At 37.9% G+C, this 18,291-nt stretch overlaps 1 protein-coding gene across 35 annotated transcripts in view, besides 2 other annotated features; it reads right to left on the bottom strand.

Moving 5' to 3' along the window:
* ATP9B (ATPase phospholipid transporting 9B (putative)) overlaps positions 1–18,291 on the bottom strand; it is a 308,890-nt gene that overhangs the window by 190,947 nt on the left and 99,652 nt on the right. For 33 of the 35 annotated variants that reach the window (NR_148360.2, XM_017025726.2, XM_011525963.3 and 30 more), the window contains one exon: positions 10,430–10,524. The exons of 1 other annotated variant lie outside the window; for it this stretch is intronic. Coding sequence is in view for 33 of the 34 variants with exons in the window: in XM_017025726.2 (XP_016881215.1) it covers positions 10,430–10,524 (95 nt within the window). In the remaining variant the exon portion in view is untranslated. One more of the 35 variants, XM_011525973.3, reaches the window with a different exon arrangement.
* Positions 561–620: a silencer, noted in NCBI's record as "silent region_9568". NCBI's record gives its function as "represses an Ori minimal core promoter by ATAC-STARR-seq in GM12878 lymphoblastoid cells {active_cell/tissue: GM12878}" and the evidence as "EXISTENCE:reporter gene assay evidence [ECO:0000049][PMID:35858748]".
* Positions 4,874–5,442: an enhancer, noted in NCBI's record as "OCT4-NANOG hESC enhancer chr18:76941895-76942463 (GRCh37/hg19 assembly coordinates)". NCBI's record gives its function as "activates a minimal SCP1, AML or CMV promoter by ChIP-STARR-seq in naive H9 embryonic stem cells {active_cell/tissue: H9 hESC(naive)}" and the evidence as "EXISTENCE:reporter gene assay evidence [ECO:0000049][PMID:30033119]".

Below are 18,291 nucleotides of genomic sequence, written 5' to 3'. Positions count from 1 at the left end.
ACGTATCAGAGATGACAAAGTTGCCCTATCACCCTTTGACCACCCACCTGGGCTACTGTGAGGGTGAAAATCTGTTTTGATTTAAGGTGCGTCAGTCACATTTCAGTACAGGAAACAGAAGCCACCCTAGACAGTGTAGCAGAAAGTGATTTCATACACAGAACAAGATGCTTCCCAAATCAGTGAAAGGATGAAGTTCAGGACTGAAGCTCCAAAGCTACTCTCAGAATGTTACCAAAATATCCATCCAAGGAAAGCACTATGGCAAGGATCACATCTGAGACACGTGGTTTGGAGACCACCATGCACATAGTGCACTCCCACCCAAGCCCTAAAGCTGGAGAGCGGGAGCAGGAACTCAGACCCATGAGGACACCTGTCAGCAGAGAACACACAGGCAAAAAGATACCTCCTCCTCACTCCTGCCTTACAAGCTCTGTGAAAGTACATTCAATGTGAAAGCAAATTCACACACCTTTCAAGAAACTGTGAAAAATACGTGCAGGCTAGTTTCCAAATTTCTAAAGAACAGAGGCTGCAGGAAGGGTGGACTGAAGGTTGAACATACTAGTTTACCACAGTGCAACTGTTATAGTAGCTTAGACTATGTACTATTAATAGCAAAAATTTATTTAAATTAAGCTAGTTTACATGAAAAGAAATATTCTCTAGTAACTTGAGAATTATGAAACTTCTACTAGAATGTTTAATAAGCAGTCAAGTGATTCCAGGGATAAGGCAAGTCTGAGAATCACTCATCATTTAAATATGACACTGTCACAGTAATTTTCAAAACATGAAACTTTCATACCTCAAACTACTTTTTGATACATGAAAATAAAAAACAGGCTGGCAAGCTCATTTCTACACACACATCAGCATTTAGAGTAATGCATTTCATCTAGTATAGTAGACATCAAATGACTGAATAAATGGCACAATAATGAGAATGTCATTCGAAGCTTTTCACGATAATTTAAAAATCATTCTGAAGTTTTCAATAACGGAGGAAAGCCTCTGCTGTGAGGTCAAGGCCAACACTTGTTCGCATTACTTAAAGGTCATTAAAATACATCCTTAATCATAACATGTGGTTCATTACAAATAAAATTGCCTTTCGTTCAATAAAACTAATTAAATGTAAATGGTATTGTTTACTGCTATACGGATCTTTTGAAATAAATCAGCATGTCATGATTTATTGAAAGTTACTGTGGCCTTGTGGTTGTTAATAAATTTGTTTGATCACAAAAGCCAGAAACATATTTCCCAAATGTCTACAACGCCTGAAAACTGTGCCTCCAGACAGCTATGAAGCCACAAGAAACTGCACCTGCCATTACAGGCTCTGCAGCACAGTTATTATTACATGACTCTGAAATTTTAATTCTCTGAGAATATAACAGAATGGACAAAGGTTATTCTTGGCTGTGTCCTCAGCTCTTCCAGATGAGTTCTTAGGTCTCTAAGTTTACTCAGCCTGGCTGTCACCATGGACACAGTCTGATGTGACACAACTGTGATACAACAAACAGCTCACAACACAGAAGACCCTCAGATCTACACCACGAGAGACACGAATGTCAGAATGAGGGATGATTACGGGCATAAGCTATTACATGAAAAACTCAATTGCCTTGCCCATATCCATAATGAAATCAGAGCTTTCTTCTCTATAGAAAAAAGATCTATACCTAATATGCCAAGTTATGTGAAGCTAAAATATAAAATTGATTAATGAATCAGATATTCAGTTGAACTTCCTTTTTTCCTAGGATATACTGCTTTTTGGTGGTGTGGTAACAGCAAAAATTAAAATGTTTTCATTTACCATATAGTTATGTCACTAAAATCCTTAATCAGACTCTGTATCAAAGTGTACTGGCCACGAAAATGTTAAAGTTGCATTGTACGAATTATTTATTTTAATTCTGTACATATTTTTGAATTTATATGTGTATATATCTGTCACTAATAAAAATAAAGAAAGTATCCTTATAATATTGAAGATAATAAAATGTCACTTCCTATAATCATGGCAAAGAGCATTACTCAAAGTTATAGATAACAGTATGAAAATCTGTAACTACTTCATAAGGTGTGATTTCCATGCAATAACTGCACGTTTAAAGTGTACCATTTTGTTTTGATATATGTGTATGCCTGTGACCACCACCACCTCAAGATACTGAACATTTTCATTACTCACAAAAGTATCCCCGTGCCCCCATGCAACCCGCCTATCCCTGCACTGCTAACCTCTGTCACCTGCTGATCGCTTGTACAGAATTGTATGTTAATGGAAACATGTACCGACATCCTTGCTTGGCTGGATTTTTTGGGTTTTTTTTTTTCAGACAAATTTTTTCTAATATAGTGTTTTGATTCTGTACTTTCTTTTCTACTACACTTAGCAAAATTAAATCTGTTAGAAAATTATCATTTAGTGTGACTTGCTCCCAAGCTGCTTACTGCCAGGGACCCTAGAATTCTTGGAAGGTTCTTCAGGAGGAGGATGCAGAGGGTGGGGCTTTTGTCCAAGTGTTACAGCCAACCAAAATCCCCTCCAGTCATTTAAGGACTCATATTATCCCTTTAGTTCTGCAGAGATTACTTGAGTATGTACACAAGAAAAAGAAGGACACAAGGAGGAAATATGTAACCATGAAACAGTAGCACTAACCCAGCAATCAGTTCCAATTACATTAGAAAGTCAATAGGCTGCAAGAATGTCTCTATGATAAAACTTACCTTAATAAATAGTATGAGAACAATAAGCTAGATGTCAAGTAATAAGATAATAGAACAGACTTATTTCACAACATAAAAAAAAACCAAAAGCAAGTCGAAAACCCTGGGAAGCAGAGCGAGGATGAGAAAGGGCTGAGGAGGGAAATGATGACACAGAAGATGCAGGCTGGAGTGACGCACGATTCTGCTCAGCTCATAACATGAAATTAAAAAAACAAACAAACAAACAAAAAAACCTACTTAACCTTAACTCTCAAACAATTCTTTAGCCACACATACTAAGTGAAAGATTCAACTTCCCTCTGCTAGGTCTTTGTGCATCAGCTGGAACTATAGGAACTATTTTAATAATTATAATAGTGTAAATGCAAATTACTTGGCTCTCACTTTTCGATTCCACCTACTGACAAACATTTAAAAGTGGTTAAAATGATAAATGAATACTGGTGGGCAAACAGCCTCCTGGTACAAGACAAAGCCTATAAATGCATAAAGAAAAACATATAAACAATAAAAGAAAACATATAAATATTTACCTAAATAAAATTTGAAATATTTACATAGCGAAGATATTATAAGGCCAGAAGTTAAGAAACAGATTGGAGAATATATTTGCAATGTGTACTGGGTAAAGTTATGGAGAAACAGATACGCTGATACCCTGATGTTGAGAAATTAGAATTGTATAAACATATGGGGACAATATTAAATTTGTGCAAAAATAAAAATCTAACAAAAAAGTTCTTCAGTGAATGGTACTGGTGCAACTTACTGTTTTTCTTTTTTTTTTTTTAACTTTAAACTAAAAAAAAAATACTCCCCCCAAAAATGGTAGATAATCAGATTTTGTATGGAAAGCAGGAATTATTTTAAAACTAATTATTTAAAATATAATCATGAGTAGAAATAGTCAAAGCATAAAACCAAAAAGCAGAAATCATTGAAAAAAATATTGGTAGGTCACATTATCTAAATACACTGAACTTTTATATGGGCAACAGAAACTATAAACGAAGTATTTAGAAACATTGGAAAATAAAAAATTATTAACAAACTTTAGCAGATAACATGAACAGACTTAGAAAATAAAAATATGAGAAATACATTTTCTTAGGTAAGAATTATCTTCAATCTCACACATTAAAAAACTAAACAAATGTAAATTTAAATGGGATACCATTGTTACAGTTATCAGATTGGAAAACAGTGAAAGATTAATTGATTAATTAATACACAGTAGATAAGTTGCATAGTCTTCTGAAAAGCATTTTGGCCAAATAATCAAAATTCTTGAAATATGCTTTTTTTTAAATCTAGAATTTCAAAATGATATCTTTTAAATTTACCAATATCAGGTCAGCTATGGAAGCTATAATTTGTCAGAAACTATGCAGCTAATAAAACACTTGCAAGGATACACAATTCCTAACATGAAAGGATGACCCATAGCATATTGTTGAATAAATATTCTACTAGTAAAAACAGTAATATACAGCATTATCCAACCATGCAAGAATGTGGCTAGGGGAAGGTACTGTCAGAAAGGATTTATACCAAAATGCTCTGATGGCCAATGCAGACTGGCAGGTTTTTTTCTATTTTGTGATTTGTGTATTATTTTCAATGCACACATTACTATTAGAATCAGGACTCAAAATTGACATCCACTTCTTTTTTAAAGGAATGCCCCTGAAGAGAGGGCAGGAACATCTAAAGGTGGCAGAAGGGCCGGCATCCAGGCTCTGCAGGGCAGTCACAGGCCTCCCAGCAGGTAGATCCCTACCAACAAGCAAATTCTCAATAAACAAATAACTGTTTGTTTTAGTTTAATTATAATTTGAAATGTCATGCAGTTTGTTTCATCCACAAGGAACTTAATATTTTTCATTAAAAATTAATCAAGGGCTTCTACAAGTCATGTTGTGGTAACTAATATGAGACTTGTCCTCCCATGAAAACAACTGGAAAATGGACAATATTTATAAAGTATCTATTTTCAGACACTAGATACAGTGCCCCAGGGAGAGGAGAAACAAAGCCATGTGCCCCACATAAGCCCAGGTAAAGAGATTTACCACTTTAGACAGCAGAAGCCAGGCAGAGGGAGGCAGCTGTTCTGAATTTAGGAGACTGAGACCAGAATTCAAGGAAACTGACAGCTAGCATTTGCAAAATACTGAAAAGAGGCAAGGAAGAAACAGAATTGCAGAAATATGCAAAGTGTTCCACCTGAGTGTTACTGAAAGTGAGTACACACAGCATACAGGGTAAGAGTATGTCCGGCCGGAGGAGAACCACGGAGCTCCAGCCCCAACCACCTGCAGAGACCACAGAGTTGGAGAGCTGAGTTTTGACTAGCCAGAGTTCAGAGGCACCTGTGAACCAGCAAGGATTTCAGTAGACATCAGCAGGATCCCAGCAGGATCATGCTCTAGCAACAGGATTAATTAGCATTCCAATAAAGGAGCCTCTAGGCCTGTAACAAAGTTTAAGGACAAGCCTTGAAGACATCAAGTTGACCCACAAGTTGTTTAACTAATTTAATAAAGATCGAGATGCTTTAAAGATAGAAATGAAAATCTCAGACATTAAATGTAACACTTATATACTCAGCATACAATAAAAAATTACCAGACACGGAAAGAAGCAGGAAAGTATGGGCCTATAACGAGGGCCAAAAAATTTAAATAGAAACATACCCAAAAGTGACAGAGATAAAGGAGTTTTAACATACATGGAATTAAGCATTACAAACCGTTGAAATAGTCCAATGAAGCCATATACATATTAGGAAAGAATAGAAAAGGTATTTAAACAACAAAAATGAGAGAAACGTATGAAACATCCAGAGATTACAACACTCAGAATAACAAAATTCATTGGGTGGGCTTAACAGAAGACTAGATACTGAAAAAGATAAATGTTAGTGAATTTAATGACAGAGCAACAGATACTATCAAAATTGAGTTACAGAAGGAAAAAAAAGGCTGAGAAAAAGAAGAGTAAGAGAGCATCAATGGCATGTGGGAATCTAACCACTTGATATTCCCATGTCATTGAAGTTCTTACTCTTTTTTAATATGAGTAGTTAGACTAATTTACTTGATATTAGTAGTTAGACTAATTCTGTTGGTCATGTCTCAGAGGGGTTTGGACAGAAGGAAAGATAAGAAAAATAAAGGCTGAAAATCTTGAAACTGGATAAAAACCATGAAACTCCAGATACAAGAAGCCCAACAAACCCAAGCAAGACAAATGAAAATGCATCAACACACTTAAATTCCTGAAAGCCAGTCAAAACAGGAAAGACTTTCCAAACGCCCACAGAAAAAGGCACAGAGGATAAAGTGGAGTCAGGGTAAGAATGCCTGTAAGCATCTTTTCAGGACTATGGATGCCATCAGATGAAATCAAAGCTCTGAAAGGCAAAGATAAATGAAAACTTCAAGACATCCTTCAAAAGTGAAGGCAAAATAGGCCCAGCGTGATGGCTCACACCCTTAATCCCCCACTTTGGGAGGCCAAGGTGGGCGGATCATCTGAGGTCAGGAGTTCAAGACCAGCTTGGCCAACATGGTGAAACCCCGTCTCCACTTAAAAAAAAAAAAAACAAAAAAACAAAAATTAGCCGGGCGTGGTGGTGGCACATGCCTGTAATCCCAGCTACCTAGGAGCTGAGACAGGAGAATTGCTTAAACCCAGGAGGTGGAGACTGCAGTGAGTCGAGATTGCACTACTGCACTTAAGCCTCTGTGACAGAGCGAGACTCTGTCTCAAAAAAAAAAATGAGAAAAGAAAAAGGCAAAATAAAGACAATTTTCAAACAAACAAAAACTGACAATCTCTAGCAGATTTCACTACAAGATACGTTGAAAGAAGTTCTTAGGGCTAAAGGAAATTGGCAGTAAATGGAAACCTGGATCAACACACAGGAAAGAGAAGTCTCAGAACAGGTAAACAAACACATGGGTAAACAGAAAAGACTGTTTTCATTTTTTACTATCTTTAAAATATGCTTGACAACTTTGAACAAAAAAAAACAGTAATGCACGGTGCAGCTGATAATATGTAGAAGTACGACAGCTGACATGAATACAAAGGATGGGAAGGAAGCCATGGGCATCTACTGTGCACAACTCTTACACTGTAAGTGACATGGAGAAATATTGCGGTAAGTTAAAAACACCCATTGGAAACATGATAATGACACAAAACAGAACTAACGTACATAGCTAATTAGCCAAATGGAAATATAACACAACACCAAAAGATGAAGAAAAGAAACAAATGGGATAAGTAGAACCTACAGAGTCAAATGACTGACTTCCGCTCAACCACATTAACGATTACTGTAAATGTACACAATAAAAATGCAGCAATTCTCAGAATAAAAAAAGCAGTACCTACTTTTATTACATTAAAAAACACTTTAAATTCAAAGAAAAAGATATATAAAACACACACTAATGGAAGATAAACCATGTAAATACTAATTTAAAAAAAGCTGAAATTACTATAATAGTAAAGAACAAAATAGATGTCTCAACAAAGAATATTACCAGGAATAATGAAAGGGCAAATTCAACAAAATATAGTAATTCTGAAAGTGTATGAACCCAGTAACAGTGCTTCAATATAGATCAGGAAACAGGTAACAGAGCCAAAAGGAGAAATAGTTCCATCTACAAAAGGTATGGGATCTTAAAAGTCTTCTTCAGTAATTCAGAGAACGAATGGTAGAAAACAACTATAAAACTTTTTTAAACAACACTTTCCATTAGCTTGACCTAATGAACATTTACAGAACATCCAGGCAATAGCAGAACAAACATTATTTTAAAGCTTACATGGAATACTGACCCAGAGAGTTCATATGCTGGGCCATATCACAAGTTTCAATACATATGAAAGGACTGAAATAGAACAGAATATGTTCTATGACCATAAGAGAATTAAATAACAATAAATTACCAGACATTGGGAAAATCCCCAACTGTTTAGCAAATAACAGTGTATTTCCAAATAATCAAGGATGAAAAGAAGAATCATGAAGGAATTAGAAAATATTTTTAACTAAATGAAAATGATTTTTTAACTAAATTATTAATTATTTTTAACTAAATAAATCAAAATTTGTGTGACACAGGTAAACAATGCTTGGAAACAGGTTTACAGCTCTGAAAGTTTATAAATAGAAAATAATAAGTTATAAAATCAAAGGTCTAACTTCCACCTTAAGGAGGAAGAAACAAAAAAAATTATAAACTATGTAGAATGAAGGAAATAAAGAGCAGAAATTAATAACACAGAAAATGAACAAACAATGAAGATAATCAATGAAACCAAAAACAAGTTCTTTGAAATGATCGATAAAAGAGACAGGATATAAACTACCAATATTGGGAGTGAAAGAAGGAATCCTAAAATGGCTAAAAAAATAATGGAATATTATGAACTTTATGCCATTAATGTTGTCAACTTACGTGAAATGAACCAATTCTCTGAAAAACACAAATTTCCAATGAAGAGAAAATCTGATTAACTCTATACCAAAGAAATTCAATTCACAATCAAGTGTTTTCCCAAAAAGTAATCTCTTGGATCAGATAGTTCCAAAAGTGAATTTGTTCAACATTTAAAAAATAAATAACGCCAATTTTATGCCAACTATTTTAAAAATTACAGGAGGCAAAAAGACTCCCCAACTCATTATAAGGCCAGCCTACCCCCAGATATCAAACTAAAGACATTAAACAAAAGCAATACAGATCCATATGTTTCATGAACATCAGCACAAAACATCCTTAACAAAATATCAGCATATCAAATACCGTGACATAATAAAAAGACATGCAGTATGACTACTAGGTGAGGTTTATGCCAGTAATACAAGGCTGGTGTAACACATATGAAATCAGTCCACATACCATCATATTAATAGATAAAGGAGAAAATCCATATGATCATCCCTACAGATACAGAAAAGCTTTGGAAAAATCTAACACCCATTCATGATAAAACCTCTCAGCAAACTAAGACTAGAAAGAACTTCCTCACCCTGACAGAGACTCCCTGAACAAGCTGCAGCTAGCATTATACATCAAGGCGGAATGCTTTTGCTCCGAGACTGTCAACAGGACACATCACCAAAGAGGACAAGCAGATGGCAAACAAGCACACAAAACAACGTTCAACACAACCGGCCATCACAGAAACGCAAACTGAAGCCACGATAAGATATCACTGCACACCCGTCAGAATGACTACAATAAAAACTGGTGACAACATTGAAGGCGGCAAGGACACAGAGAAACCGGGTCACTCATCCGGTGCTGGTGAGGACAGGGAATGGCACAGCCACTCTGGAAAACAGTTTGGCAGCTCCTTTGAAAGCCACACTGTGTGATCCAGGAACTGCCACATGCACACACACCCCAGCCCCATCCTCAGGTGAGGAGGTGCTGCTCCCTGACATATAACTTCACTATTTAATAGCTGCCTGGTTGACTCTACCCACCACCAAGCAGGTAAAAGGCAGCTGTCAACTGCCCAACCTCTCCAATCTGCTCATCTGTTGGTCCAGTAGAACCTACCTTCCTTCATTCACTGACCACGGAAAAATGTTAAGTTGTAATAACTCTAAACATATAAATTATGCATAGTATCCTAGATAATTTAAGTAAACAATCATAGAACACTGAAAATTAAAAACCCATGAAAACAAATCATCTGAGCAGCACTTCACTGCCTGGCTTTGACTGAGAAGCCTGACCCAGAGAAGCAGCTTGGACAATTTTCAAATAGAGCTTCTGACCTGAAGGCTAATGAAGTCCATGTGAGGTACAGAGAGAAAATAGAAGAAAGAAAAACACTTTTATGTGCCTAAGTGAAAATTAAAAACAGATATTCATTTGTGAATATCTGGTTTTACTGATTTGAAAGATTCTACACACACGAGCATGTATGTACTTTTTAATTGGCAAATATCAATACAAAGTCGCAAAGGAGAGGAGCACACAGCCAAATAAGAAATAAAAATTTATCACTGGGCATGGTGGCTCAAACCTGTAATCCCAGCACTTTGAAAGACCAAGGAGAGAGGACTGCTTGAGACCAGGAGTTCAAGACCAGCCTGGGCAACATAGCAAGACCCCCATCTCTACAAAAAAAAAAAAATTAAGAACTGGCTGGGCGTGGTGGTGTGCACCTGTACTCCCATCTACTCAGGAGACTGTGGAGAGAGCATCACTTGAGCCCAGGCGTTTGAGGCTGCAGTGAGCTATGATCATGTTACTGTATTTCAGTCTGGGCAACAGAGTGACAACCTATCACTTAAAAAATAAAATAAATTGAAAAAGGAAAAGGACATTAAGAGGAGGAGGAGGCGGAAGAGGGGGAAGGGGGCAAGGACAGGGAGGAAGGGCAGGAAGGTGAGCAGAAGGAGAAAGAAAACCTAAGTGTCAAAGAAAATTCACAATTACCTAAAACTGATTATGTGCTAAGACATCACAGAAATTATTTTGGCACAATTCTTCAATGAACCTTCATGAGGAATAAAGAAATTATAAAACAAATTCTCAATGCATTAAATAAATTAGCTGGTATAAACAGAAATATACGTGAAGCCTAGAAACTACCATTGAAGATAAAAGGATGGAGTAGTCTTGGTGCTGCTCACCCCCAGAGCCGGCAGCTGTTGCGTGCAGCTCACTGCCACCTTCAGCTTCCAGTCAGTTTCACCATCTAGTTGATCAGTTCGAATAAAACACGAACCTTGGAAGTAGAGAATAAAAATTTACCACTCTTGAATTGTTACAGAAGGTTTTTCCTGAGCTACAGGTGCCATCAAAGAATAATTCCAGGGCACAGTAGGACAAAGAAATAACAATCTAGATATTCCCAGGAACAAAACTCCTTAAAAACTTTTATTTTACACAATGTTCCTTGATTCACAAAACAGGTTTCATGAAAAGATGTAGGCCATTATATTTTTTTAAATCACTTATTTCCTATTTGCTGTTCTTGCCTATTAAGGTTTAACATTAATCAGCCTTCTATTTTAGAAAAACTGCATTGATCATTTCTACTTTCAATGTATGTTTTGATAATAACAAAATAACAAATACACAAAAATATCCAACAGTGTATAGTATTATTTTGCTAATAAAATACCAGATTTACCGTCATAAAAAATGTTCAATCATAAAAGCACAGCTACAATGCTAAGACCCAGGTAAATGTTACCATATGCTCTCAGGCCTATCCAGTTTCAAACATGCTAAGATATTCTATTATGAAAATCCACTACTCTTTGGCCGTGCTATCATCCCACTTCTCAGAATCTATTCTAATGATGGAATAGCAAAAGCACAAAATGACATACACACAAGGCTGCTCCTTGCAGCATTATTTATAATAACAGAAGACTGTTGTGAAACAAAGGGGAACAAACAGAGGACGAGCTGAATAAAACAGAGCACATACGGCAATACAGAGAGAAGAAAGTAAAGCAAACAAGATGACCTCAATACACTGTCATGGAAAGATCTCTAGGATATAGATTGTGAAATAAAGAAAGTAAGGTGCAGGACATTATATATAGAAAAATACATTATAGTTAAGAACAAGGGAGGGAGGAGAGAGAATTTGTATACGTCCATACAGATCTCTATGCATATATAACTGTATACATGCATGTTCATCTGTGTGTGGATATGTATCTATGTGTGTATCTGTGTGTGTGCATGTATATGTGTGTGCGCGTGCATGGCTAACTTGTGTGTGCTGTGTGTGCACAAGCGTATCTGTGTGTGCACATGCATGTGTACATATGTATTTGTGTGTGCTTGTGTGTATGTTTGTGTACATGGGTATCTGTGTATAATATGCATGTATAACTGTGAACAAGTACCTGAGGATCTGTGTGTTTCTGTGTGTGTGCATATTGGTGTGTGAACATATCTGTGTGCACACAAGTGTACCTATGTACGCATGCATGCATATCTGTGTGACAGATGTGAGGGCATGCAAATCTGTGTTTCTATGTGTGTGCCTCTGTGTGTGAGTGTATCTGTATGCATGCAAATGCTTCTGTGTGTGTGCACATATATCTGTGTACGCATGTATGTGTGTATAATACCTATAGAGGCAGGAAGGGAACAGGAATAGATGCTAGGCCTTTTGAATATATCTTATACTGTTCACTTTAAAACCAGATACATTTTATATAATTAAAAAGCCAAATTACACCAAACTTTTAAAAAACTCCTAAAAAATAAAAAGCAGCGTATAAAACATAATTCAGTTTAATCACAGAGAGAATTCATCCAGGTGACTTTTGAGGTTTCAAAAGTTTTGATGTTTTTTTTTTTCTTTTTTTTTTTTTTTTGAGACAGTCTCGCTCTGTCGCCAGGCTGGAGTGCAGTGGCACAATCGCGGCTCACTGCAACCTCCACCTCCCAGGTTCAAGCAATTCTCCTGCCTCAGCCTTCCGAGTAGCTGGGACTACAGATGCGTGCCACCATGCCCAGCTAATTTTTTTGTATTTTTAGTAGAGACAGGGTTTCACCATGTTGGCCAGGATGGTCTCGATCTCTTGACCTCATGATCCACCCACCTCAGCCTCCCAAAGTGCTGGGATTACAGGTGTGAGCCACCACGCCTGGCCTGATGAAGAACTTTACACTGGGAAGATCAGTTGATAGCACCTGTATTTATTCATCACTAAAAGAGAGACATGTAGACATCTGCCTGGAGTTAGAAACAGGACTATACAGGAGCATTGCTATAGTATTCTTTAACCAAAAAAATGAAAAGCTAAAAGAAAACCAAAAATGAGTATGATCAACCCTTTAGATCCACCTACCAGTTAACAAAAATACAGGATATAAAGGAATGTATTAATTAATAACATGGTTGTTTTGTGTATGCACTCACACAATCTAGAATATCAGATATTCTCTATGTCCAATAACCCTGTTTTTTCAACAAATAAAAAACAAAGAAAGAGAAGGAATTGTTTTAGAAGAAAACAGATTTGAGAGACACCTGTACCAAGCGCAAGAGAAGGGCCCTCGCATCCTGACTGGAACAGATCAACTGTAAGAAGTGTGTGAGACAATCAGAAACCAGGAGACTCACCAAGCGTTAATCTAAGAAATCCCTGTTCAATAGTTTATGGTATGATAATGGAATTGTGGTTGTAATCTGTAAATGCTGAATTTGTTAATGCAATCAAATTATACACAGGATTTCATCCAAATGAGACATACGGATGAAGCAAGACTGGCCATTTAATGAGCAGTCTTCCAGGGGACGATGGTGACGCAGCAGTCCATTACACTATAGCTTCATGCAGTGAAAATTCCTAGAATAAAGTTTAAGATCCAATTTAAAAAACAGAAAATGAATAAAACCTTTAAGGGAAGTTTACTTCCAGAAAGATAGAGCAGATGTACTCTTTCTTATTCTTCCTAAATAAAGCAAAAAATGCTGAACATTAAATTTTTAAAAATGATGATGATTCTACAAGAGGAGGAAAAGTGCAGTCCAGCTCAATTCCTCGGGTATCAAGAAAGGACAGTGGTGATTTCCTGTTTTCATCTTGCCCTTTTTATCTCAGACTAGCAAATGAAGAACCCGGCCACCCATAAATGCCAACAGGTGCAGACTTCATGACTATCATTGTCCCATGAAGACTTTCTTTAAAGATATAGGCAAGATTATTCTAAAATGTGTATAGAAAGGTAAAGTTGTTTAAAACAGCTAAAAGTTGTTTAGAATGGCTAAAACAATGTGGGGGAAAAAGGAAGAAAAAATGGGAGAAATCAGCCCACCAGATTTTAAGACTTACCAGATGGCTGCAGTAATCAAGATTGTTTGATACTGAAGAAGGAACAGAAACACAGATCAATGGAACAAAATAAAGAACCCAGAGAGAGTCCCCCCAACATACAAGTATGGCAACTACTTTTGATGCATTTACAAAAGCAATTTATGGAGAATGGAGTCTTCACTATAAATGACGCTAGAGCATTTGGACATACATAGCCCAACAACCCAAAGCCTTGACCTGAACCTTACATCTTATACAGTAATTAACTCACAACAGACCACAGATCTCAATGTAAAACTTTTAGGACAAAAAAAAAAAACCACCACAAGAAGAAATCCTCAGGGCACAGGGCTGGAAGATGAGTTCCTAAACAGGACATCAAAGGAACAACCCATTAAAAAAAAATCAATTGGACTTTGATAAAATTAAATACTTTGAATATGTAAAGATCCTTGCAGAAGATGAAAAGACAAACTACAAACTAGTACAAAATATTTGTAAGCCACATATCTGACAAAGGACTCCTATGTAGAATATATAAAGAACTCTCAATATCAATAGTTTAAAATAAATCCAATTAGAAAATGGGCAAAAGACATGAAAAGACACTTTACTAGAGTCCTGAGGATGGCAAACATGCAGCAAGAACGTGCTCAACGTCGCCAGCCATAACGGAACGGCACACGCAAACCACGAGGAAGCACCGCTTCCATCAAACATCGGCCAAATGTGGCAAAACTAGATGTCCCAGGCATTGCTGGTGGGAATGTAAAACAAAACTGTAACTCTGGAAAAGAGTTTGTCAGTCTTAAAATAAGCATAGAATGACCATAAAAATCAGCAACCTCACTCCTGGACATCGATCTGGAGAAATAAAAACTTATGTCCACAAAAAAGCTGTACATAATTGTTCAAAGCAGTTTTATTTATAACAAAAACCTGTAAACAACAAAAAACTTCAACCAACAATGATGAATGGTTTAAAATATGCTGTGGTACATCCATCCATGAAATCCTAGTTAGCAGTAAAAAATGAACAAACTATTGACATATACAACAACTTGGATGGATCTCCAGGGTGTTGTGCTAAGCAGAAAAAGTCTCTAGGCGGGCACGGTGGCTACGCCTGTAATCACAGCACCTTGGGAGGCCAAGGCGGATCGCAAGGTCGGCGCACGGTGGCTACGCCTGTAATCACAGCACCTTGGGAGGCCAAGGCGGATCGCAAGGGCGGGGCACGGTGGCTCACGCCTGTAATCACAGCACCTTGGGAGGCCAAGGCGGATCGGAAGGGCGGGGCACGGTGGCTACGCCTGTAATCACAGCACCTTGGGAGGCCAAGGCGGATCGCAAGGGCGGGGCACGGTGGCTACGCCTGTAATCACAGCACCTTGGGAGGCCAAGGCGGATCGCAAGGGCGGGGCACGGTGGCTACGCCTGTAATCACAGCACCTTGGGAGGCCAAGGCGGATCGCAAGGGCGGGGCACGGTGGCTACGCCTGTAATCACAGCACCTTGGGAGGCCAAGGCGGATCGCAAGGGCGGGGCACGGTGGCTAGGCCTGTAATCACAGCACCTTGGGAGGCCAAGGCAGATCGCAAGGTCAGGAGTTTGAGGTGGGCGGATCATGAGGTCAGGAGCTCGAGACCAGCCTGAACAGCATGGTGAAACCCCGTCTCTACCAAAAATACAAAAATTAGCCGGGTATGGTGGTGTGTGCCTGTAATCCCAGCTACTCAGGAGGCTGAGGCAGGAGAATTGCTTGAACCCAGGAGGCGGAAATTGCAGTGAGCTGAGATCGCGCCATAGCACTCCAGCCTGGGTGACAGAGCAAGACTCCATCTAAACAAACAAACAAACAAACAAAAAAAAACGAGTCTCCGAAGGTCATGAATGGTTTATTTCATTTATATAACACTCCAGAAATGACAAATTTATAGAAATGAAGACAAATTCAAGGTTACCCAGGGTGAGGGCTGCTGGAAGCAGAGGGATGGCTGAGCCCACTGGGCTAGTGTGAGGGAGATCCTCACGGTGGTGCAACAGTTCTGCACCTTGACTGCGTTGGTGGTGACAGGAACCCACACTCAAGATGAAATAACACAGCCTTACGCGCACACACTGTACCAGTGTCAACATCCTGGTCTGATATTCTACTACAGGTAAGTTGTCAACCACTGAAGGAATCTCGGTGAAGGGACACACGGGGTCTCCCTGTACTACCTTTGCAACTTCCCAGGAGTCATTAATTATGTCAATATAAAATGTATTTTTAAAAAAGGTGTTGTTCACTCTAGGAATAAGTTTTAAATAGCAAATTAAAGCTCTCAATTTAGGTTGCTAATAGAACTGCAATCTATCTTTCCTATTAATATGTATCTATATAACTCAACTATACTAGTATAAAAATATTCATATTTCACGAGTGAATTGCTTCATAACACCCTTTCTCAAACATGAACAGTCTTAAATTTTGGAAATGAACAAAATTTCAACAGTGCTAATATACTACAATGGTACTGAAGCAACAATCAGATTTAAATAATATCTAGATTTTTAAAAATAGGTTTTTAATAAAAAAGCTCTATCAAGTTCCAAATATTTCAAATATACTTTCAAATCTTGAATTTTAATTCTGTTTTTAAGTAAAAAAGTTACTTAACACTATAGGGGGAAGGTGGCATCAATTAGACTAAACAAAATATGCTCATTAGCAAAGAATCTTTCAGGTACAACTTAAGAAAATCTACGAAGATTCTGAAGCATACCATGTAAAGCTGCACAGCACAGCCAAGGCAAAAACAAGAAACCAGGGAAGAAAATGGTTTTTCCTCCAAGTTTTGAAAGCAAGATTCAGGCAATAAGTACTATGTGTTTTAGTGCCTACAACTTAATAAACTGAATAAATTTGGCGTCACAATCAGGTAGGGTCTAGTTTTCAGAACTCAGTATTATACTGGCGAATGCTTATAATCAAGTAGCTCAGCAGACGAACTAATCTGACATGCAGGAGAGAGACCTCTGACACTGCACTGGACCAGAAGGGGGCTTTCACACACCAGCCTTTCCAGCAACTGATGGAAATGTTTAAACTCAGAAACAACAATTCCAACACAATATACAATTTGATTCCAGAAACCTAAAAAATATATTAAGATGCTTTCCCAAACAAAGTCTACAGAATGGCATAAAAATCATATTATAAACCCAGAGATTAAAAATCTGTTTTTAAAACACATTTAGATTAAATAATGAAAAGGCCAACCTAAAAGTGTGACTCAAACATTTGGTGTTTGCAGTAAAGAGATAAATAATGCAAGTAACTGGACTTAACCTCTAAATATTGCACTACAGGAAGCACACTGTAACTATTTCAACACCTACAGAGGAGGAGACTCATCTCAATTGTTCTTGGCTCCCACTGCCATTCTAGGAGAGTTCCCCATCCTGTTTATCACTGTGTGCTCCCATTCATCAATTTCATTCAGAATCACACTAGGAATCGATGCCACCCAGGCCCAGTGTGGCTCTGGGGAGTGCCTGACATGAGCTTGTGCTCATCGGACAGAGCCGGTGAATGAAAGTTACCGGCCGGCTGCAGCTCCTCCCTACCTTGGCAGCCAAGGTCAGCCAGAACAGAGCTCCTGGCCTTTCCCTCTCCAGAGCAAGAGACAGTCTGAGCTCAGTCAGCTTGCAAGTGATCACCGCAGCAAAACGGAAGCATTAAAGACAAGGGTCTTACACAGTAACAGTAATGACAGTATGGCTTTAAGTATTGGGGAGTCGTAAGGTAATTTTGTAACTTTGCTGGAAGTCGTAAGATAACTTTGTAATTTACTGTTAAAATGAAAAAATAGGTAAACAGCCTTTCAAAGCTCCTCACTGCTTAGAGGTGACAGCCATGTAGTAAACAGCCTGAAACTTCTGATTGTGGTCATTTCTAAGCCATTCAGCATTCAGGAACCATTCTTCCCACAGAAATGACTAAACTTTTATATATCTAATAAAGTCTGATAAAGATCACCTAATGCATAAAGCAGCTGAAATACTACGGTATAATGGTCAAAATAATTCAAAATGGTTAAACTAATACTATTAAGTATTCATAATTAACAAATGTATAACTAAATAATGGTTAAGAAAAGGTATGTTAAGAAAAGGTTTACTTTTATCTTGAAGAAAGCAAATGGAGACTTTATGAAGATTTTACAGGAAATGTCCAAAAACACTCCGTGGGAACGCTGAGTCCAGAAACTCTGTGTGAAGACTCACGGCTTTCACACAGTCCAGCCAGGCTCTTCCTCAACACAGGTGACACACAGCAAGCTCCCACATATTTCACCAATATTTACTGAACACCTACTATACTGAAAGCATTACTCTAGCTACCAAGTTTCCTACTGACCTTAACAGTGTTAGGTGACAGTATAACAAGTAAAGACAGACAACCAAATGTGAAAGAGAAAATAAGAGGTTCTAGAAGGACCTATTAATGGTATGGGGTTGACCATACAAATAGCCCAGCCTCAGAAATCACCAAGAAAACTCACTGTTCACCACTTGGAAGATACGGAAAGTCCCATTCCAGAGACAGGGTGGAAGCCCTTGAGGGACCCGTCATAGAAAAATGCCTCCACTGTACAGGAAGTAGATGACCAACAACAGCCTGTATCAGGTCTTCTCAAAGTCTCCTCAACGAGGCAGGA

Source organism: Homo sapiens, chromosome 18 (assembly GCF_000001405.40).
Source record: "Homo sapiens chromosome 18, GRCh38.p14 Primary Assembly".
Classification (NCBI taxonomy): Eukaryota; Metazoa; Chordata; class Mammalia; order Primates; family Hominidae; genus Homo; species Homo sapiens.
This window is presented reverse-complemented; position numbering and strand designations above follow the sequence as displayed.